This window comes from Homo sapiens, chromosome 1 (assembly GCF_000001405.40).
Source record: "Homo sapiens chromosome 1, GRCh38.p14 Primary Assembly".
NCBI classification, from domain to species: Eukaryota; Metazoa; Chordata; class Mammalia; order Primates; family Hominidae; genus Homo; species Homo sapiens.
The window spans coordinates 42280554-42305833 of record NC_000001.11 but is presented as its reverse complement, the minus strand read 5'-3'; the positions used below and the strand labels follow the sequence as shown (position 1 = coordinate 42305833).

The 25280-nt window shown below is 38.2% G+C and overlaps 1 protein-coding gene across 12 annotated transcripts in view; it reads left to right on the top strand.

The window, feature by feature from the left end:
• Positions 1-25280, top strand: part of FOXJ3 (forkhead box J3) — a 159333-nt gene that overhangs the window by 30047 nt on the left and 104006 nt on the right. The window lies entirely within an intron of this gene.

Here is a 25280-nt window from a genome sequence, read left to right as displayed (position 1 = left end):
TTAAATTATTACTGACTGTAGTCACCCTGTTGTGCAATCAAACACAAGGTCTTAGTCACTCCTTTTATTTTTTTGTACCCGTTAACCATTCTCACTCTCCCTGATACCCCGCTTACCCTTCCCAGCCTCTGGTAACCAACGATCCTTCTACTCTCTATCTCCGAGTTGTTTTCATTTTTAGCTCTCACAAATAAGTGAGGACATGCAGTTTATATTTTTGTGCCTGGCTTATTTCACTTAGCATAATGACCCCCAGTTCCATCCATGTTGAAAACGACAGGATCTCGTGTATATATGTACCACATTTTATCTGTTCATCTGTTGATGGACACTTAGGATGCTTCCAAATCTTGGCTATTGTGAACAGTATTGCAAACAATATGGGAGTACAGGTATCTCTTTAATATACTGATTTGCCTTCTTTTGGGTATATACCCAGCAGTGGGATTGTTGGATCTTATGGTAGCTCTACTTTTAGTTTTTTTTGAGGAACTTCCAAACTGTTCACCATAGTGGTTGTACTAATACACATTCCCACCAACAGTGTACAAAATCCAGTGTTCCCTTTTCCCCACATCCTCTCCAGCATTTGTTATTGCCTGTCTTTTAGATAAAAGCCATTTTATCTGGGGTGAGATGACATGTTACTATAGTTTTGATTTGCATTTCCCTGATGATCAGTGACATTGAGCACTTTTTCATACACCTGTTTGCCATTTGTATGTCTTTTGAGAAATGCCTATTTAGATCTTTTGCCCATTTTAAAAATCAGCTTATTAAACTTTCTCCTATACAGTTATTTGAGCTCCTTATATATTCTGGTTATTAATCCTTTGTCGAATGGGTAGTTTGCAGATATTTTCAGCCATTTTGTGGCTTGTCTCTTAACTTTGTTGATTGTTTCCTTTACTGTGCAGAAGCTTTTTAACTTGATGTGATCCCGTTTGTCTATTTTCGCTTTGGTTGCCTGTGCTTGTGGGGTGTAACTCAAGTAATCTTTGCCCACTCCAACATCCTGGATAGTTTCCCCAATGTTTTCTTTTAGTAGTTTAGTTTGAGGTCTTAGATTTAAGGCTTTAATCCATTTTGGTTTGATTTTTGTATATGGCAAGGAATAGGGGTCTAATGTCATTCTTCTGCATGTGGTTATCCAGTTTTCCCAGCACCTTGTTGAAGAGACTGTCCTTTCCATTGTATGCTCTTGGAACCTTTGACAAAAATGAGTTCACTGTAGATAAATATATTTGTTTCTGGGTTCTCTATCCTGTTCCATTGGTATGGCTGTTTTTATGCCAGTACCGTACTGTTTTGGTTACTATAGCTCTGTAGTATAACTTGAAGTCAGGTAATGTGGTTCCCCCAGTTTTGTTCTTTTTGCTCAGGATAGCTTTGGGTATTCTGAGTCTTTGGTGGTTTCGTATAAATTTTAGGATTTTTTTTTCTATGTCTGTGAAGAATGTCATTGGTATTTTGATAGGGATTGCATTGAATCTTTAGTTTGCTTTGTGTAGTATGTACATTTTAACAATATTGGTTCTTCTACTCCATGAACGTGGACTATCTTTCCTTTTCTTGGTGTCTTCTTCAGCTTCTTTCATAAATAATTGATGGTTTTCATTGTGGAGGTCTTTCACTTCTTTGGTTAATTCCTAGGTATTTTATTTTATTTGTACCTATTGTAAATGAGATTACTTTCTTGATTTCTTTTTCGGATTGTTCACTCTTGGCATATAGAAACTCTGGTTTTTGTATGTTGATTTTTGTCTCCTGCAGCTGTCCGTTCTAGTAGTTTTTTAGTGGAGTCTTTAGGTTTTTCCAAATATAAGATCATATCATCTGTAAACAAGGATAATTTGGACCTCTTCCTTTCTAATTTGTGTGCCCTTTATTTTTTTCTCTTGTCCGATTACTTGAGCTAGGACTTCCGTTAATTTGGTTCGGTCAAAGCAAAATAGGTTTGCTGTTTCTTAGGGCTTGTTGAAATGGAACACTTTCTGCATTTCTGAATTACCTAACATTTATTAGAGGGTTTATTTTATGGTTCTCACATGTATACAGCTTGGGACACAGTAGTACTTGTAGTAGTTTCTGGTGATATTTAATGCCTTCTACCTGAGATCACTTCTGCTCACATTTTTCTGTATTTATCCCTTTTTATCACTCATTTTTGTTAACGCTTCTTCCTTAAAGATGCCTTTTATTATTGATCTAATTTGTCTACTTAGCGTATGCCAGGGAACACATAGAAATAGTTGAATGCCCCAGATGAATTTCCCGTTCGTCTGTTTCCTCATTTCCCTCCTCTTGAAATTGATGACCCTGCTGTTTAGAACTACCAGAAGGAGGCAGATTTATTTCAAGCCTTCTTGCTGCCTCATTTCTGGAAGCATACTGGTATTGATAAAGCAGATGTGGTGTATAGACTTAAGATAATGTAGATACAGGTTCACATCTCTCTCTTCTTACTATTAGACCAGGCATTATTTAAGCACTTTAAGTTTATTAAGTTCCCCCAACAATTCTATGAGGTCAGTACCATTATTATCCTTACTTCACAAGTGAGGAAACTGAGGTAAAGTTAAGTAACTCAAAGATATATAGGTAATTAGGGATAGAGCTGGGATTCATACATAGGTCCTTATCCAGTGCCCATGCTTTAACCATTTAACTCTACTGCCTCTTGGCTATAAGTATTTATTGTAATTTCAGGCTTTTTTCTTAAATGAAGTCTGCCAAACAATATTCTTCTTAATTGAGGGTACTATAAAAAATAAGTAAAAAAGAGAAATGTCAGTGTAGGAGACTGTGGAAAAAGGTAATAGAAAACCAGCACTTTAATTTTGGAATACTAAAATTGAAAAAAAAATCTTGTTTAAAATTGATAAAATATTTTGCTCTTTTGTTAGCAAAAGACAGGAGGTTTTTTTTTTTATTTCAGGGAGATGGAGAAATTTTGAGTTTTTATGAGGGGGAATCATATATCAGAGGTAATAGGGAATAAAGAACATCACTGAATATACTAAGAGTTAAATATAAAACACATGCCTACTAACAGTGCATATATAGTGCAAAATAATACTACTGAAAAATAAAAAAATTAAATGATTTGATATAATAAGCTTATCATAGGCAAGCTTTATGGTTCAGTGGCACTTAGTGCAGAGATGTATCTTTAGGCATTTGGAGCACCCACTTTTCTAGATTAGGGTTTAGGCTGTACTCTACTTGCCATACAGAGAACTTGGGGCAGTGGAGATTTCCCAGCTCCATGCCTAGGCATACCTCTGGGTAACTGGTGGTTGCCCATTGGACCCCAGCTCTCCCCTGCCCCCCATACCTGGTGCTTGTGCCCTGCTATTGGGAGACCTGTAGGTGGGCCTGCCTGGTCTGGACCCACCTGTCTTGGTCTCCTGCTCCAGGGCTGGGCAGGGAGCTCAGACACCTGTGCATTCTGCAGATCAGCCCCATTGCTTGAGGCAACAGAGAGCTTCTCTGTAAACAAGGATCACATATATACCCATCTACAATGGCTTCAGCTGGCTCTTAACCTGTGAGTGCCACCAACTGACCTGGAAGTTTAATTGCATGACACAGTAGAAAATCTGCTGACACAAGTGTGCAGCACTAGGGATCTAGATAAACTTCCTGAGACCTCCACCACCCTGGCCCCACAAGATGCAGTAAGCCTGCTCACGTGCCCAGTACATCACTGATATAACCAGCATTTGGGAAAACTACCATTCAAAGGCTGTCTACAACCATGGAACTTAATGCAGACTCTTTGCCACTGAAAGCACCCAGAACTAAAGCCAAAAGACCCTACGCAACATATATTATAGACACCTTCTGAAGGGGAGAAAAATCACATCCAAATGAAAGCAAATTCAAAAAATAAGGAGAGACGGCTTATCTAGATGAGAAGCAACCAGAGGAACAACTCTGAAACTATGAAAAAAGTGTGTTAACAATGCTCCAGAAGGATCACACTAACTCTTCAGCGATGGATCCTAACCAAAATTAAAATCTTTGAAATACAAGATAAAGAATTCAGAATGTTGGTTTTAAAGAAGCTCAATGAGATCCAAGAGAAAGTTGAAAACACACACACATCAGAAAAACAGTTTGGGATATGAAAGGAGATATCACTAAAAATAAACCCAAACATCTTTTGGAAATGAAAAATTCATTGAAAGAATTACAAAATATAGTTGAAAGCTTTAATACTAGTCTAGAGAAAGGAGAAGAAAGAATTTCAGAGCTGGAAGACAGGTCTTTTGAATTAACCCAGTCAGATGAATTTAAAGAAAAAAAGAAGTAAAATAAGTGAACGAAGTCCGGTGTGGTACCTCATGCCTGTAATCCCAACACTTTTGGAGGCGGAGGCGGGTGGATCACTTGAGGGTCAGGAGTTCGAGACCAGCCTGGCCAACATGGTGAAAACCCCATCTCTACTAAAAATACAAAAAAAAAATTAGCAGGGCATTGTGGCGTGTGACTGTAATTGCAGCTGCTTTGGAGGCTGAGGCAGGAGAATCGCTTGATTCCAGGAGGTGGAGGTTGTGGCGAGCCAAGATGGTGCCACTGTACTCCAGACTGGGTGACAGAGTGAAACTCCATCTCAAAAGAAAAAAAAAGTGAAAAAGTCTTGGAGAAATATGGGATTGTATAAAGCATCCAAACTTACAGGTTATAGATATTCTACAGAAGAAAAAGTAAAAAGTGTAGAAAAGCTATTTCAGGAAGTAATTAGGGAAAACTTCCCTAGTCTGGGAAGAGATTTAGACATCCAGAAACAAGCTCAGAGAACTCCTGAAAGATAAATTGCAAGAAGAACCTCATCTAAGCATATAGTCATCAGACTGTTCAAAGTCAGTGTGAAGGAAAAAGAAGAAATTCTAAGAGTAGCAAGAGAGAAGGGATTACCTATAAGGGAAATCCCATCAAACTAACACCAAACTTCTCAGCAGAAACCCTGCAAGTCAGCTGGAAGAGATTGGGGGCCTATTTTTAGCGGCCTTAAAGAAAAAATTACCAGCCAAGAATTAATTTTGTTTTTTGGACAGGGTCTCAGTCTGCTGGCCAGACCTGGAGTACAGTGGCGTGATCACAGCTCACCACAGCCTTTACCTCCTAGGCTCAGGTGATCCTCTTGCTCAGCCTCCCAAGTAGCTGGGACTACAAGCACATGCCACCATGCCCGGCTAATTTTCTTGTGTTTTTTGTAGAGACAAGGTTTTGCTGTGTTGCTCAAACTGGTCTTAAACTCCTGAGCTCAAGCGATCCACCCGCCTTGGCCTCTCAACATACTGGGATTACAGGTGTGAGCCACCGTGCACAACCACCGGCCAAGAATTTTATATCCTGCCAAAAAAATAAGCTTTGTACATGAAGGAGAAATAAAGTCTTTCCCAGACAAACAAGTGTGAAGGGAATTCATCATCACTATACTGATCGTATAAGAAATACTGAAAGGAGTTCTAAGCATGTTAACGAAAGGACAGTACTTACCATCATAAAAATAAAAAGCTCACCGAGTCTATAAAGCAGTTATATAGTTGAAACTCTAAGGCAGCTAACAATACTGTGACAGGAACAAAACCTCACATATCTATATCTCTGTCTCTATTTTTTTTTGAGACAGAGTCTTGCTCCATTACCCAGGCTGGAGTGTAGTGGCACGATCTCGGCTCACTGCAGCCTCTGCCTCCCGGGTACAAGTGATGCTCCTGCCTCAGCCTCCCTAGTGGCTGGGACTACAGGTGTGTGCCACCACACCTGGCTAATTTTACATTTTTAGTAGAGACAGAATTTCACCATATTGGCCAGGCAGGTCTCAAACTCCTGACCTCGTGATCCGCCCACCTGGGCCTTCCAAAGTGCTCGGATTACGGTGTGAGCCACTGTGCCTGTCCTATATATATATTTTAAGATGGAGTCTTGCTGTCTTGCTCAGGTTGGAGTGCAGTGGCATGATCTTGGCTCACTGCGACCTCTGCCTCCTGGGTCCAAGCAATTCTCCTGCCTCAGCTTCCCAAGTAGCTGGGATTACTGGTGTGTACCACCACACCTGGCTAACTTTTGTATTTTTTAGTAGAGATGAGGTTTTGCCATGTTGGCCAGGCTGGTCTTGAGCTCCTGACCTCAAGTAATCCGCCCACTTTGGCCTCTAAAGGGCTAGGATTACGGGCATTAGCCACCACACCCAGCCACATATCAATATTAACCTTGAATGTAAATGGCCTAAATGCTCCGCTTAAAACATACAGAGTGGCAAATTAAAAAAAAAAAAAAAAGACCCAACCATCTGCTGCCAGCAAGAGACCCCCCCACACACACTGGTTAAAGACAGTTACAGACTCAAAGAGGTGAAAAAAGATTTATCATGCAAATGGAAAACAAATGCCAGCAGTAGTATCCATTCTCGTATCAGATAAACTTCAAACCAATAACAGTAAAAAAAAAAAAAGATGAGCATTATATAATGATAAAGGGTTTGATACAACAAGAAGATTTAACTATCCTAAATATATATGCACTCCACACCAGAGCACCCAGATTCATAAATACTGCTAGGCCAAAGCAAACAGATTGATAGCAATACAATAATAGTGGAGAACATCAACACCTCACTGACATCACTATTCAGATCACTGAGGCAGAAATTCGAAAAATTCTGGACCTAAACTGTAGACCAGATGGACCTAATAGACATTTATAGAACATACATTAATCTCATCTGCACGTGGAACATTCTCCAAAATTGACCATATGCTTGGCCATTAAAGCAAGTCTCAATACATTCCAAAATACTGAAATCAGATCAAGTATCTTTTTGGAGCACAGTGGAATAAAATTAGAAATCAAATACCAAGAGGGACTCTTAAAACTATTCAAGTAGATGGAAACTAAACAACATGCTCCTGAATGAACTTTGGGTAAACATGCAATTAAGGCGGAAATTGAAAACAATTTTGAAATAAATGAAAATGGAGACACAGCATACTAAAACCTCTGGGATACAGCAAAGACAGTGCTAAGAGGAAAGTTTATAGCGTTAAATGCCCACATTAAAAAGATAGGAAGATCTCAAGCTACCACCATACATCAAGGAACTAGAAAAATAACAAACCACACAAAAAGCTAGCAGAAGAAAAGAGCAAAGATCAGAGCAGACCTAAATGAGATAAAAAAATGATACAAAGGATAAGTGAAACAAAAAGTTGGTTCTTTGAAAGGATACACAAAATTGACAGCCTGCTAGCTAAGTTAACCAAGAAAAAAAAAAGTTTTAAATATAAGCAGAAATGATAAAGACAGCATTACACCTGACACCACAGAAATACAAAAGATCATCAGAGACTGCTGTGAACATTTCTGTGCTCATAAACTAGAAATAGCTGGGGGAAATGCACAAATTCCTGGAAAGATACAACCTCGCAAGATTGAACCAGGAAGAAATGTGAATCCTGAACAGACCAATAACAAGTAACAAAATTCAATCAGTAATAAAGGAAAACTTCTGTATTAGTCTGTTCTCATGCTGATATAAAGAACTACCTGAGACTGGGTAATTTATAAAGGAAAGAGGTTTAGTTGACTCACAGTTCCACAGGGCTGGGGAAGCCTCAGGAAGCTTATAATCATGGCAGAAGGGGAAGCAGACATGTTCTTCACATGGCGGCAGGAAGGAGAAGTGCTGAGCAAAGTGGAGGGAAGCCCCTTGTAAAACCATCAGATCTCGTGAGAACTTACTATCAAGAGAACAGTATGAGGGTAACTGCCCCCATGATTCAATTACCTGCCACTGAACCCTCCCATGACACATGGGAGTTAGGGGAACTACGAGGTGAGATTTGGGTAGGGACACAGCCAAACCTTATTACCTTCTAACAATAAAAAAGGCCAGGACCAGATAGATTTGTAGCTGAATTTTGCCAGACATATAAAGAAAAGCTGGTATTTAGGAAAGAATACTGAAACTATTTCAGAAAATTGAGGAGGAGTAATTCCTTTCTAACTCATTCTACAAAACCAGTATCAAAGTCAGGTGAGGACACCAGTATCAAAGTCAGGTGAGGACACCAGATACCAAAGTCAGGCAAGGACACAACCAGAAAAGAAAACCACAGGCCAATATCCCTAATGAACATAGGTGCAAAAATCCTCAACAAATGCTGAATCCGACAGCACATCAAAAAGATAATAAATCATGATCAAGTGGGTTTTATTCCAGGGATGCAAGAATGTTTAAGCATATGCAAATCAATAAACATGATTCACCACATAAATAGAACCAAACCCCAAAACTGTATGATTATCTCCATAGATGCAGAAAAGTGATTTGATAAAATCCAACATCGCTTCATAACAACCCTCAATAAACTAGGCACTGGAGGTATGTACCTTAAAATAATAGCTATATATGACAAACCTACAGACAACATCATGTTGAAAGGGAGAAGTTGAAAACATTCTCCTTAAGAACAGGAACAAGACAAGGATGTCCACTCTCACCACTCTTGTTCAACATAGTACTGGAAATCCTAGCCAGAGCAATTAGGCAAGAGAAAGAAATAAAAGGCATCCAAATTGGAAAAGAGGAAGTTTCCTGATAACATGACTGTATACTTAGAAAAGTCTAAAGACTCCTAGACTTCGTTGAAGTTTCAGGATACAAAATCAATGTACAATGATCAGTAGCATTTCTATAAATAACTTTGAAGCTGATAACCAAATCAAGAACCCAATCCCATTTACAGTAGACACACACACACACCCACACCCGCACACCCCTAGGAATACATTTAACCAAGGAGGTGAAAGATCTTTACGAGGAGAACTATATAACACCAATGGAAGAAATTGCAGATGACACAAACAAATGGCAAAACATTTTGTGCTGTTGGATTGGAAGAATCAATATCACAAAAATGACCATACTATTCAAAGCAATCTACAGATTCAATGAAATTCCTTTCAAATTACTAACATCAGTTTTCACAGAATTAGAAAAACAGCACTGGAGTGCATATGGAATCAAAAAAGCACTCAGCCAGAGCGATCCTAAGCAAAAGGAACAAATTCAGAGGCATCAGATTGCCTGACTTCAAATTATACTACAAGGCTATAGTAACTAAAGCAGCATGATAGTGGTACAAAAATATGCATAGAGATCAGTGGAACAGAATAGAGAGCCTAGAAATAAAGCCACATACCTACAACCAACTGATCTTTGACAAAGTTGATGAAAATAAACAGTGGAGAAAGGACATTAACACTCTATTCAATAGATGGTGCTGGGATATTGGCTAGCCATATGCAAAAGAAGGAAACTGGACCCTTGTGTCTCACCATGTATGAAAATTAACTCAGGACGGATGGATTAAAGACTTGAACATAAGACCTTAAACTATAAAAGTCCTAGAAGAAAACTTAGGAAGAACTCTTGGATGTTGGCCTAGGCGAAGAATTTATGAGGAAGACAAAAATAGACAAATGAGACTTAATTAAACTAAAGCTTCACAGCAAAAGAAATACTCAACAGATTAAACAGCCTATAGAATGGGAGAAAATGTTTGCAAATGATTACTTTCAGAAAGGATGAACATCAGAATCTACACGGAACTCTAATAACGGGGAAAAAACAGCTTCTTTTAAAAACTAGGCAGAGGACATGAGACATTTCTTGAAGAAATACAAGTGCCAACAAACACTTGAAAAAAATACTCAACATTACTAATCATCAGAGAAATGCAAATTAAAATCACAATGAGATACCATCTTATACCAGTCAGAATTGCTGTTAAAAAGCCAAAAAATAACAGATGTTGGTGTGGTTGTGGAGAAAAGGCAGTGCTTACGCACTGCTGACGGGAATGTTCAACCTCTGTGGAAAACTATGGAGATTTCTCAAAGAACTAAAAATAGAACTACCTTTTGATCCAGTAAACACACTACTGGGGGTATCTGCCCAAAATAAAATAAATCACTATATACAAAAGACACCTGGACAGGTGCGGTGGGTCATGCCTGTAATTCCAGCAGTTTGGGAGGCCAAGGCAGCGGATCACCTGAGGTCAGGAGTCAAGACCAGCCTGGCCAACATCGTGAAACCTTGTCTCTACTAAAAATAGAAAAATCACTCAGACAAGGTGGTGCACACCTGTAATCCCAGCTAATTGAGAGGCAGAGGCAGGAGAATCGCTTGAACCTGCAAGGCAGAGGTTGCAGTGAGCCAAGATTGCGCCACTGCATTCCAGCCTGGGGGACAGAGTGAGACTGTGTCTCACCAAAAAAAAAAAAAAAAAAAAAAAAGACACTTGTAGTCATGTTCAACACTATTCATAACAGCAAAGTCATGGAAGCAACCTAACTGTTCATCAGCAGTTGACTGAATAAAGTGTAGTATACAGATACCATGGAGTACTATGCAGCATAGAAAAGAATGAAATCATGTACTTTTCAGCAACATGGAGTTGGAGGTTATTATCCTAAGTGAAATAACTCAGAAACAAAATCAAATACCACATGTTCTCACTTATAAGTGGAAGCTAAATAATAGGTATGCATGTACATAAAGATGGAAATAATAGACACTGAAGAGTCCACCGGGGGGAGGGTGGGAGGAGGATGAGGGTTGAAAAATTACATGTTGGGTATAATGTTCACTCTTTGGATTGTGGGTACACTAGAAGCCCAGTCTCCACCAATATGCAATATACCCATGTAACAAACATGTATGTTTACCCCCTGAATCTAAAGTTTTAAAAAAGCTTCGCTTGGTTTCAAGAAAACTAACTCTGGATACATCAAGCAAAAAATAAAAAGAATTTATGGAATGAATTTAGAAAACATGGTTGTATTTTACAGAATACAAGGATAGTTTATTCTCTTGAAATGGAACTAAGAATTGATGAAATACTGTTAGAAACCTAGGCATTGTACTTACTCTTCTGTGTTGAATTTCTCTGAATCTAATTTATTTCTTCATTTCTACAGGCAACTTTCTTTGATTTTCTTACACATAGCCATTCTATCCCTCAAGTTCATGGCGTCTTTTTTTTTTTTTTTTGAGACCAAGTTTCGCTCTTGTTGCCCAGGCTGGAGTGCAATGGCGTGATCTCTGCTCACTGCAGCCTCCGCCTCCCGGGTTCAAGCAGTTCTCCTGCCTCAGCCTCCCAAGTAACTGGGATTACAGGTGCCCGCCACCACAGCTGGATAATTTATTTTTTATTTTTAGTAGAGATGGGGTTTCGCCATGTTGGCCAGGCTGGTCTCGAACTCCTGATCCCAGATGATCTGCCTTCCTCGGCTTCCCAAAGTACTGGGATTATGGACGTGAGCCACCGCGCCTGGCCTCAAGTTCATGGCTTCTTTATTCAGGAGAGCAGCCCAAACTGTTTCACTTCTAATTCTAAATCCTGGGGGAGAAAATTTAGGTAAACAGCTTGAATCAGGTAGCACCCTTGGTTCAGATCCTTTAATTTGTTCCTGTATTACTGGTACGGACAAAGTATAGTACAACATTCAGAGCCCTGGGGATGGAGACACCTCTGAGAAAGGGCATTGGTATGAGCTAGGCAAAACACTACAGAAAGCGTTTGAGACAAAGCAGCATGTATCCACTTTTGGTTGAGAAAGGATTTCAAGAGAGGATAATTTTAGGATTCCTTATGATCATTGGGTATTGAATGGGAGACTTGATTCCCAGCTTTGTATTAGAACATCCAGAGTATCCTTATAATTGTGGATTTGGAATTGGACTCCTGCCTCAATTCTATTCAATCTGACAAATATATATTGAATACTTACGTCCTTACTAGTGTTCAAGAGTCCACAAAAGCAACAAAAGAAAAGGAAAACAAAAAGATTATTCCACCCCCTACTAGTGCTTACTTGAGAACCTGATGGATAAGTGTTTGGCTGGGTCTCTTTTGAAGGTTAGATCTGAATGGGGCTTTTAGTGTAGGGATCCATTTCTTCACAGTTTTATTAACACCTTGCCAGTCTCACATATATATGGAGCTTGCAAAATGATGTATCAGCTATGTTAAAAAGCACAAAGCATGGAGTTATGGAAAGACGAGACTATCTGAGTAAATAGAGGCTGAGAAAAAGATAGTGCTTCTTAGTATAGTGCAAGATAGGTCTATAGATAATTCAAGAAATAGAAAACTAAGAGAAGCTCGTGAGACTGGATTGGAAGCCATATGAAATGGAGATACTCATTCATGCTTTACCTCGCAGCACAAATTTTTTTTTGCTATTGATATCAAGAAGAACCCAGTATGCTTAAAATAAATTCAGGAAGGAGGATTATTATTATTGCTTTTCAGATTTTTTTTAGACATTTTAGTGGGTTTGGAATAGTATCTTGTTGTTTTAAGTTTGCATTTACCTGATAACTAGTGATGTTGAGCATCTTTCTTGTGTTTATTGGGGTTTGTATGTCCTTGTTTAAATTTTTTGTACATTTTAAAACTGGGTAGTTTGTCTTCTAATTATTGAGTTATATGAGTTCTCTAAATACTCTGGATACAAGTTTTTTTTTTGTTAGAGCAAGAAAGTTTTAAATTTTGGTAACATCTGACCACCAATTTTTTCTTTCATTGTTCAAGCTGAGAAATATTTACTTATTCCTAATCACAAATATTTGTTTGTCTCTTTTTATGTCCAAGCTGAGAAATCTTTACTTATTCCAAATCACAAATACTTGTTTTTTATTTTATTTTTGGAGGCAGAGTCTCACTGTGTCACCCAGGCTGGAGTACAGTGGTGTGATCTTGGTTCACTGCAGCCTCCACCTTCCAGGCTCAAGCAATCGTCTTGTCTCGGCCTCCTGAGTAGCTGGGACTACAGGTGCCCACCACCACACCTGGCTAATTTTTGTATTTTTTTGTAGAAATGGATTTCACCATGTTGCCCAGGCTGTTCTTGACATCCTGAGCTCAAGCAATCTGCCCACCTTAGCCTCCCAAAGTGCTGGGATTACAGGCGTGAGCCACCATGCTGAGCCCACAAATATTTGTTTTTTAAAAACAGCTTCACTGAGATGTAATTGACATAGTACAATTTTATAAGTCTGACAAATACATACACACATAAATCATCACCACATCAATGTGGTGAACATACCCGTCATTCCCAGCAGTTGCCAGAAGTGCTTCTGTGAAGTTCTTCCTTGCTGTCCCTCTGTCTGCAAGGTATCTACTGATCTGCTTTTCTGTTCCTTATTATATATTTGCATTTTCTAGATTTTTACATAAATGGTATCATACAATATGTATTCTTATTTTTATCTGGGTTTTGTTTCATTATTTTGAGATTTATCTGTGTTGCTGCATGCATCAGCAGTTCATTCCTTTTTATTCCATTGGGTATATTCACAACAGTTTGTTTATTCATTCTCCTGTTGATGGATATTTGGATTGTTTTCAGTTTTTGGCTAAATACCTGGGGGTGAAATGACTGCCATATTGTAGGTGTATGTTTAAGAAACTGCCAAGCCGTTGTCCTTAAAGCAGTTATGCCTTTTTAAACTCCCACCAGCAGTATGTAAGAGTTCCATTTGCTCCATATGCTTGTGAACATTTAGTATGGTCAGTCTTTCAATTAGCCTTTTTGGTAGGTGTGTAGTGATATCTCAGTGTAGTTTTAATTTGCATTTCCCTAATAACTAATGATGTTTAGCATCTTTTCTTATGAATCCTTTTTCTTTGCAACCCCTCTTTAGGGTTCTGTCCCCTGGCCTTGCACCCCCCTCCTCAGGGTCCCATCCTCTGGCCTTGCACCCCCCTCCTCAGGGTCCCATCCCCTGGCTCCCACTCCTGCCTTTCCTCCCACCGGCATCGGGACCCTGAGCCTGCTCCCGTCCTCCTGGCCCCATCCGGCTCCTGCCCTCGGCTCCTCTGAATCTTTGCTATATTTTATTTGTTGAAGTACCTGTTCAAGTCTTTCGCCCTTTAAAAAAATGGGTTTTCTCATCTCATTGAGTTTTGAGAGTTCTTTATATTTTCTGGATACAAGTCCTGTTGGTTCATCCCCTCCACCCACAGTGAGGTGGATCTTGCTTTGTTGCCCAGGCTGGAGTACAGTGGCATGATCATAGCTCACTGCAGCCTTGAACTCCTGGGCTCCGGCGATCTTCCTGCCTTGATGAAACAAAAACAAAAACAAAAACAAAAATTTTTTTTTTCTTTAGAGATGAGTTCTTGCGATGTTGCCCAGGCTGGTCTTAAACTCCTGGCCTCAAGTGATCCTCCTGCCTTGGCCTCCCAAATGCTGGGATTACAGATGTGAGCCCTGTAATTTGTAGGGTTAAGCCCTGCACAAGTCCTTTTTAAGATATATGCTTTGCAAATGGTTTCTGCCAGTCTGTGGCTTGCCTTTTCATTCTCCTAACACTGTCTTTGAAGAACAAAAGTTTTAAATTTTGATAAAGTCCAGTTTATTAGTTGTTTTATGAACTGTGATTGCTTTTGGTGTCATATCTAAGAAATATTTGCCTAACCAGATTTTCTCTTATGATTTCTCCTGCAGGTTTTATAGATTTAGCTTTTACATCTAGGTTTGTTGTTCATTTTTCAGATTTTTATGTATGATGTGATGTAAGGGTCATTGTTAATTTTTCTCCCATGCAGACAATTGTTTCAACATAATTTTTTGAAAAGTCTTTCCTTTCCCCACTGACTTGTCTGATGCCTTCATCAAAAATTAAGTGACTGTGGATCTATCTGTCTGTCTGTCTGTCTATCTATCTATCTATCTATCTATCTATCTATCTATCTATCTATCTATCTATCTATCTATATGGGTCTTTTCTTGGACTCTGTTCTGTTGATCTATGTCTGTCCTTTCTCCAAAACTTGGTCATTGGAATTTTACAGTAAACCTTGAAATCTGACGGTCTAAGTCCTTTATGCTTTTGAAATTGAGAAAAGAGCCTGATATCCCATATCTGCTTAGTGGAGGGTTGAAAATTAGGGTATTCATATTTACAAATTACCAAATAAAAATTTAAAAGATAGTAAATAACTGTGGCTTCTTTGAGCACATGGGAGGGGTTGAGTAGTTCCATCAAGTAAAGATTGTGATGTTTGAAGGAAGAAATTGCTGTACTTCATAAGAAGAAAAAGATAAAGTCTGTGATAAAGACAGCACAGTTCAGATGTTTTAAAGTGATGGCAAGAAATAAAAAATAGAAACAAAAAATGTGGGATCTTTTAAAAGGAGCCAGTATAATAGAATAAAGAAGAATAAGAAGGATTTTAGGCAGAGAGATTCTTAGAGTCTGGGTAAGTATAAGCTGCAGCATCTTTACACGTGGATTATTAGTGAACAACCCAAATAGTGCTGGGATTTTCATGTAAGTCAGTTATCTTCACATTTTTTCACTCCTTTTCATACCATGCATGGAATTTTAATGATAATCAGTGTTGATGTTTTATGTAAGTGGATAATGACTGATGCACTGTTACAACAGAAGGTCTGTTTGTTTAGATATTAACTAGTAGTAGGTAACGGTCAGCTGACTCATGGTGAGATCCATAACCTTAAGGGATTCTAGCTTAACTTATTCCTACTTATTTTTTTGAACTCCTTCAATGAATATGAATTCCTCCAATGAATTGACTGGTGGTGTAGTCCTCTAATTTTTCTCTTCTTTGATAACTGTTGTTTTAAAGTTCAGAGTTGAGTGAATTTTAACATAGACTTTAACTATCTTTTTCTTCTCCTCCAGCATAGGAACTTTTTCCTTAAAACATCATAGCCTTTTCTTGATGCAACTACTCATATTCTACCATGTGCTCAAGGGAACGTACTTATTTACTATCTTCTAACATTTTAATTCTAGTTGAATGTATTTTCTTTACCCAGCTTTCTCTACTTACCCCTTTTTATCTTTTTGTCCTTTTTTAAATAAAAATTAAAGTGGTTTTGTGTAAAAGACTCAGTCTAATTTTTCTTTGAACCTTAGTGCACTTGAAATTATAACAAGAAATCTAAAGGTAGATAGAATGTATTTATGATCCTCTGAAAATAACTCCAACTCAGGTAATCATAATGAGCAGTATGGAAGGTCTGTAATATTTATTATTTCAGACATTTTATATTGTTAAATAGCTTGTGTCAGATTGCGTATCAGAGAAGACTTATAGGTAATTCAGAGATTATTTTTTGGCCTCTTCAGATGCTGTGCATTTCATGCAAAGCCTGACATGTGCATGAGCAGGGAAGATTTTTGTCTTTTTAAATCCACAGCATAGAACTGAATTGAATTGTATTTGTATATGTTGTACACTATGGAGACTTTTGACAAAGGGAAAATAAGCATGTCTTTTTAAAAGTGTTTCTAACAAAATTGATTATAATATTTTTCATTTATTGAATGCTTACTATGTGCCAAGCATTCACTGTATGCTAAATATTCCACATGTATCTTGTCATTTATTCCTCAGAGCACTTCTTTGAGGCTTAGAGGTTTATTTGACTTCTTTAAGGATACATAGTTAATAAGTGGGAGAGTAAGAATTTAAGCCTAGGTATCACAGTAACTTCAAAGTCCTTACTCTTTCTGTTATATATAAGAAACACACATACATAATTATATATATTAAGAAACATATTCATATATAAATATTGTATATACTATATTAAGACACATGTCTAAATATAAGAAGAGACCAAAAGACTGAAGATCAGTGTTGCTTATTTTTCGTCCCTTAAAAAATTAGTGCTTAAAGAGCTTTTGTTTATGTGGGTTATATCTGTCAATATTTATTGTATTACAAATTAAAATTAAGAAAAATTTAAAATATTCACATAAAAAATAACAAAAGTCTCCGTAGTGTACAGCATATAACAAATATAATTGAATTCAGTTCTACATTGTGGATCTTTAAAAAACCCTTTGCCAACATAGATAACAAGTTTTATGTAAAGTAACTGTATGTTCCAAAACAAAATTTAGTGAGAAAATTGGCATTACATTATATTTTTGCAGATCTTTTAAATATCTGACTTAATAGAAGACAGCTGGATTCTCATCTCTCTCTGCATTAAATCTGTTGTGATATCACACACCACATAGTATCTGAAAAGCTCTACTATACACTGTATGAGAGGATAAGAGTGAAAAAAGGCAAATAATGTTTTATGAAAATAGTTTTGACTCTTCAGACTGCCTGAAGGGTCTCTGGACCACACTTTGAGAACTGCTGATCCATAAACACCACATATAGCAGCTTAAACTGTTTCTTTAGCATTTTCTGTACATCATACTTAACACTAAAAGACAAGACAGGATCACTTTCCACCGTGTTAGCCCTCTGCCAGCATTGATGCCATACTTACTTGTATAATGCCATGGAAGCAGAAGTAGAGAAAAAAACTGATGAAAGAATATCCAGTAAATGTTGGCTGGTGAGCTGAAGTAGTATGGTTGCAAACAGAGGTCAGGATAACCACTTTAATGAAACAAAATTAGTGGACATATGTTACTTGAAGGATGTGTGTGTGTGTTCTAAACTGGATATAAGAAACATTCTGGAGCAGATTCTGAGTTTTTAAATTACGGCTGCAAAGATGATGTTGAATCTTCTTATGCGAAAGACTGGTTGTGTTCATCAATCTTTACAACTACTCAGAGACATAGACATTTTAATAGGGTGAGATTTAAATGCAAAATACAATATTTACTTGATGACAGAATAAACATTTGGTTAATGTTCAACAGTCTTTATTTTTTCCTCCCCTAAATTGTAAAGTGAAATATTTTGAAGATGAGAATTATAGCATAAAATATCTTTGACCATATATGATCCTTAGGTTTGTATTCTAAGTGGAGTTCTATTTTTATTTTATTTTTTTGTGACAGGGTCTCATTCTGTTGCCCAGGGTGGAGTGCAGTGGTGTGATCACAATTCACTGCAGTCTCGACTTCCCTGGGCTCAGGTGATCCTCCCACTCTTAGCCTTCTGGGTAGCTGGGACTACAGGGACACACTACCACACTTGACTAATTTTTTTTGTATTTTTTGTAAAGACGGGGTTTCGCCATGTTGCCCATGCTGATCTTGAACTCCTGGGCTCAAGCGATCTGCCCGTCTCTTCCTCCCAAAGTGCTGGGATTACAGGTGTGAACCACCATGCCCGGCCCTAAATGGAATTCTAAGGAAGGCTTTAGATTGTATAAATTCAGAACCCAGTTTTATGAATCTGAGATTAAATAATTGTGGAATGATTTGGAGAGACTAGAGAAGAGCAATAAACATATTGTGATTCTTAAAACAGATCTTGTGAGAAGAGTTGGAGAAGTTCTGGACTTTTAACTTAGAGAAGAAGGAACCCAAATAGTGTTACTGTTGTAGAATATGTTACAGTCATTATGAAGAGAACCCTGACCAGTTCTCATTTTCCAAGATAGAATTTATAGAAATTTACTTCTCTGTAGCAAGGGTAATTTAGATCAGCTTGTTAAAACTTTTATTTTTTTTTAAGATGGAGTCTCACTCTGTCACCCAGGCTGGAGTGCAGTGGTGGGATCTTGGCTCACTGCAGCCTCCACCTCCTGGGTTCATGCGATTCTCCTGCCTCAGCCTCCCAAGTAGCTGGGATTACAGATGCATGCCACCATGCCCAGCTAATTTTTGTATTTTTTAGTAGAGATCGGGTTTCACCATGTTGGCCAGGCTGGTCTCCAACTCCTGACCTCGTGATCTGCCCACTTTGGCCTCCCAAAGTGTTGGGATTACAGGTGTGAGCCACCGCATCCCAGCCAACTTTTTCTTTTAACCACAATGAATTGTATACCCTAGAACAGATTGAATATATTGTGAATTTTTCTTCCCTTGGAGATTTTAAGAAATATTGTTGGTCTCCAAAATAATTAATACCAGGACTTGGCTGGGCGTGGTGGCTCACGCCTGTAATCCCAGCACTTTGGGAGGCCGAAGCAGGCGGATCACCTGAGGTCAGGAGTTCGACACCAGCCTGGTCAACATGGTGAAACCCCGTCTCTACTAGAAATAGAAAATTTAACCGGGCGTGGTGGCACACACCTGTAATCCCAGCTACTCGGGAGGCTGAGGCAAGAGAATCGCTTGAACATGGGAGGTGGAGGTTGCAGTGAGCTGAGACCTGCCATTGCACTCCAGCCTGGGCGACAGGAGTGAAACTCCGTCTCAAAAAAGAAAAAAAATTTAGGAAACCCTGAAGAGTATGAACTTCATATTAATATTAACTTGATAACAATATGAGCAGTTACTATGTGTTGGAAGGTGTTCTCAGTGCTTTATATGTATTAACTCATTTAATCTTACAACAGTCCTTTGGGGTGGGTATTATTTTATCCTCATTTTACAGATGAGGAAACTGAGACATAAGGAGGTTAATTTACTTGTTCAGGACCACATAGCTGAAGGGAAGAACTTGGATTCCAATCCAGGCAGTCTTGCTCCAGAGCCTCTATTCTTAATCACAAAGCCATGTCTTTTCCCATATATGTGGACATTGACTCTTATTTTGCGGAAATTATACTAAGAATAGAAACTTTGATTTGGGTTGTATATAACTAATTTAGAAAAAATTAACACCAGCTGTTTTCCTTTGGAAATAGCCTAAGTTATTTCTTCATTTACAAACCTAAAAAAATTTATTTTACATTACATGATAACAAAATATAAAGTCAGTCTGTAGTAAATTATTTTATTTCTTTTTAGATTTCTTCCATAGTTGACTCCTTTGTCTACCCAAGCATCCACATAAACTTTTCTTCTTATATCTAATACTCATTTGCCCATTCCTCAAGGGAGACAACCCAGAGATTCTACCATTTACTATATCGGAAAATATAAGATCTCTGGATACAGTCCCTTTCATCAGAGCCAAGGATGACTTCTTGTGATTTGAAAACCTATATAAACCAAAGATGAATTATATGCACTCTACATATCCAGAATACAGTGGTGGAGAAGGAATAGGAAAACAACAATAAAAGGTGTTATTCAGAAAAGAGGATAATGGGAAACTCAGTAGTCACTAGTCCATATTGATCATAAAATCCTGCTGGATAGGAGTGGCAGAGACTCCCTGGCAGAGTAATAAGTCCTTTTAATCTGCTCTTTGGGAAGATTTTCATTGTCCTTTATGGTCTTTCAAGGAATCTTACCTTGTCCACTATCCTCAATGGCCACATCTTAGATTGGTATTGATAAAGATGCCGTTTCTGGGAAATGCACAGTTTTTACAGCTCTCTTCGTTGATAAGCCTTGGGGAGTATTTTAGAAACTTAAGAGACTTTTGCAGTTTAGACTCTTTCACCTCTCACCCTCCCATGTAGTTAGCTTAAAAATTTTAATTTCTAGACTTTTTGCTCCTTCGAGTAATTAGAGCCAAAGGACCTGCCCAGACACTTTTTTTTTTTAATGTGAAGACTGCCATTTGTACTCTACTTACCTCAGGGATGCCTTGTTTTGGTGCCATGGAATATCTTTAACAGTCTGGTGAAGCCTGTGCATCTTTCTCAGAATAATGTTTCAAAATTCATAAAATACAGGGGTGGGGTAGGGGGAGGGAGGGCATCAGGAAGAATAGCTAATGGATGCCAGGCTTAATACATAGATGATGGTTTGATCTGTGCAGCAAACCACCATGGCACACGTTTACCTATGTAACAAACCTGCACATCCTGCAAATGTACCCCTGAACTTATAATAAAAATTGAAGGAAAAAAATCATAAAATACAAAAGATTGAAAATAAACCAGTTAATTATATCAAAATACAGTTATCAAAATACTAACTTTGTGACATAGTAATATATACTTTTAAAATAACACATTAAACAAAAGATCTAGTGACAAATCTAAGAAAGTCAGTTTTGAAGTAGTTGATGAGTTTAAATAAAAATTTTAGATTTCTGCAACATTTCTCATTGGTTATATTTGTGATTTTTATTGGTGGCAGAGTTACAGATACTATTAATGTTACTGTGATTTGTTGTCTGCTGTCACAGTTAAAGGAAATGCTAAATTTCAGTCACAAGTTAGTGGAAATAAAGAAGATATTTTCCTTCATCCAAGTTATTTGACCTCTTTTAGCTCCTAAGGAAAAGGTGGCTTTCGTGAGGCCTTCTGAAACAATAGTCTGGGTGGAAAGACAACACCTTAACATTACCTTTGTGTGGTAAGGTATCAGTCTTCTCTACTGCTAATGCTGTAGTTTTGTAGGTACACTCACCTACCTCAGTTGGGACTTCAGAAGCACTTGGTTTTTTCAGCCTTGCAAGAAAGACTTCAGATTATAGGACTCTTAGCTGAAATTGCAGGACAAGGGTAGGCAGTACCTATCTTAGCAAATCTGTACTTTCTCTGTCTCTTCTTGTAACTCTAATCAAAGTTTATTTCTCTTTTAGGACTTCACTTTAAATGGCGAGAAAGAGCCAACACATGCCAACATTCTAAATTTTTCCTGCATTTCTGTTTTTGCACTAGCCTCAGTTGGCATATGGCTTGCTTTTCAAATTCCACAGATAACAGTTCGACCAAATTCTTTGTAATCAGCTTTCCAACCGTCAGTATCGGAATTTATTAACTCATTAATTCATCTTTAAGAGAGTGTGCTAGTTTAGGTTATGTTACTTGTATCACCACACTGCCATGTCCTAAATTCTCTATGTTAGGAACTACATTCATCTGCTAATAGAGACTCTTTTATAGTCGTTACATACGTTAAAATTCTGTAGGGTAGGCAGTCTGCGGCTGGGATGGCAGCTTCACAATCTACTTCACAAAAAAAATCAGGGACCCAGACTTTTTCTCTGTTTCCATATGCTCAGTATCTGGCTTCCATGTTCAGGATCATCTTACGATCCAAGATGACGCTAGAGCAATAGTTAATTCTGTCCGCATTCCAGAGGGCAGGCAGGGCAAAAGGTGCAATACCATCCTGAATAAAATTGGGATTTATTCCTAAGGTAAAAGGTAAGAACAGATATTAAGTGGCAATAGGAGTCTCTGCCATAGTCCCTGCTTCTGGTTGCTTTGGGTGTTGAAACACTGTAATAGGAGTGGTAGCACATATTGACCCAAAGAGATGCATGAGATCGGAATAATTCAAGAATCAGTCCTGTGGTAATAACAAGAATTTCTCCTGAGTTCTAAGTTGCTCAGTTTTGTTATGTGCCGCAGGTCTTAAGATGAAATGCCATGTGCCGGGAATGAAGTGGGAGGATTCAGTAATATTTGGGTCACAACATTGTTACCCTCATTATTCTTATTCTTTTTATTTTCTTTTATCTGTACCCATTTGCCCCCCTTTTTGATACGGTTGAAACTTGAAAAACTTTCTGAGTAAGCCTTTGCTACACTTTGGGAATTAGGAAAGTTGCAGAGGTAGGCCACGCAGTGTACTAAAGTAGCTAAAAAGCATACATGGGATCATATGAGTGTCCCTGTTTCATAAAGTGGGATTAAAACCCCCGTGTTATGACTCAGTTTTGAGTTGTTATAGCCTGAACCTGGTGCTCCTTATCCTTTAATTTTATGAAGAAAAAAATTCTGTATGGAACTTCTTTTAAGTAATAGTTACCATCATAGATCTAAGAACTGCAGACAAATTCTTCTCTGTGCTTTGCTTTCTCCCACAGGTAACAGTATATGCTTTTCATCTTACTCCCATATTCTCATTTTTCTTTGTTATTCTGGTAGAATGGTTTCTTTTCCTGTATAAAGCTGCCTGTCAGTCTGTGCTCTGAGTCATACTTTTTTCTGTCTTACGAAAGACTTCAAACCTATGAGTACCCTTACTTTCTGCTACTTAGTACTCTCACCTCTTTAACTTTTGAACTTGTTACAGTCTCACTTGTTTGGGGAGGAGCACACGCATACCTTCATTGGATAGTTACTATTTCAGTCATGAAAGTTTCTTCTTTCAAGGAGATCAGAATCTCCTGGGGGAGAGGTAGATAAAGATAATCACAGTTACATATAAATTCTGTGATAGGTGTATTTATACTCTGCTTTAGGAATAATAGCTCCTTTAGCTTAGGAGATGGAGGATGGAAAGAGGGGATTGACCAGGCTTTCTGTAGCGGGAGATGTTTGGTCTTGAAGTAGAAGCCAGCCAGGCAGACAGAGAAGGAAAGGACATTCCAGAACAGAAGGCCCTTATTCCTTATCCAGTTACTATGTTATTTTTCAGATAATTTGTACCTGGCACGGTATTGGATAGCATCAGAAGTACTAATGTATGGTCACTGTCCTCAGTGGTTGGGGGAGAGGAGGTGAGGGTAGAAAGCTTAAGCATATGATTCAACTATGCATGTGAAACAACATGTCAGTTGCCAAACTGAGGTTGTAATTGCTCTAGGAATTTAGAGAAGGATTAATAAAAGATTAGTAAAAGCTAAAGTAGTTGAAAATGAGGAATTTAGATGTAGTATAGTAGGAGTTAGGGAGCCATTGAAAGTGTTTAGGCATAATGACATGAAAGCAGTGTTGATAGGTTTCTCTTGGAGTGTATGCATGGACTGGATATGATTAGTAGGGAGGAGTGGTTGAGACATCAGAGTCCAGGAAGCCAGCTAGGAAGCTTTTGGAATGAGGTGAGGTAATGAGGGCCTGACATTTCTTAACCAGATTTCCATAACCAGATTTCTCCCAGCCTCCCATGCTGTTTTTAAATTTACCACCATCTGTTCTCGTATACAAGTGGACTTCTGTCATCACCATTCCACTAATAAGTTTGTTTGTTTCTTTTTTTTTTTTTTCTCCTTTTTTGAGACTGAGTCTCGCTCTGTTGCCCAGGCTGGATTGCAGTGGTGCAACCTCGGCTCACTGCAACCTTCATCTCCTGGGTTCAAGTGATTCTCCTGCCTCAGCCTCCCAAGTAGCTGGGATTACAGGGATGTGCCACCACATCCAGCTAATTTTTGTATTTTTAGTAGAGACGGGGTTTCACCATGTTGGTCAGACTGGTCTCAAACTCCAGACCTCAGGTGATCCGCCTGCCTCGGCCTCCCAAAGTGTTGGGATTACAGGCATGAGCCACCGCACCCGCCCTAATGAGTTTGTGTCTAAAGTTACTGGTGATCTGGCCAAACCTAATGGTCATCTTTTGTGCTCTCCACGCTTGATGGAGAACCACAGTAGCCACCAGCCTAAGTATCAACAGTGGGGACACTTTTTGCTTCACTACCAAGAATGCTGTATATAAAATTTAAGAAATTGCAAACAGAACAGAAGCCCCACTTTTTTAGAGTTTAAATTTGAGATGTTTTTATAGTGTACTTAAAATTTGCTCTTGTGGAACTGATGAATATAAGCACAGTGGAATAATTTTTACACATGATGGCTTTGAAGACTAGGGTCCTTTTTCTTTCCAGTCTATTTAAATCTTCACTTAGCTGAAGTTCTTCAGCTAAGTCAATCTTCACTTAGCTGAAGACTTGCTAAGTTCTTCCTTCTTTACCCTCAAGGCTTTAGTCCATGTTGTTTATTCCTTTTCCTGAACCTTCATAGCACCCACAGCTCAGCTGTGTACTTTTATTCAGTTCTTTGTTGTGTCTGAACTTCTTTATTGGATTATAAGTTCCTGGAGGACAGGTATGTGTGTATTTTTATTTTATTTTATTTTTTACTGTAACATAGCTCTTTACACATGTATAATTTATGCATCCTTGTTAAATATATAACACATAGTAAATACCTGTATTACTGAGATTCTTATAAAGTCTCATTACTGGCACTGGTGGAAGGGAGCAGAAGGCAAAGATGGTTCTCAGTAGGGAGCACCTGCAATAACAATTATATTCCAATTTGTAATATGCTTTTGTATGAAAATGCATGTAACTGGCTGCTTTGGGAATTTGAACAAAATAAAGCTCTACTCCATGGAGACTTGATTGAGGTAAATTGGATGACAGCATGGTATAAAATAGCCAATCTTTATTGAATGAAATGTGAATAATAATATAAGCAACTACTCTTATTACCAATACGAGTAGTTAACATTTGTTGAATACTTATTACTTGCCTGGCACTGTTCTGAATACTTTACATCAGTGAGGTGGGAACTATTTAAATTTTTTCATCTTACAGATGAGGTATGTTTAGCAAAACTACCAGATTGGGTATCAGGAGATCTGGGCTCTGGTTTTTGTACTACTGCTAACTACCTGTGTGAAATTGGATGAGCTTTAACTGCAGTTTTTCATTACTGAAGGGATTCATCTCTGATCTCTAGGGTACTTTCTCTACTGTTTTGACATTGTGTGATCTCTAAA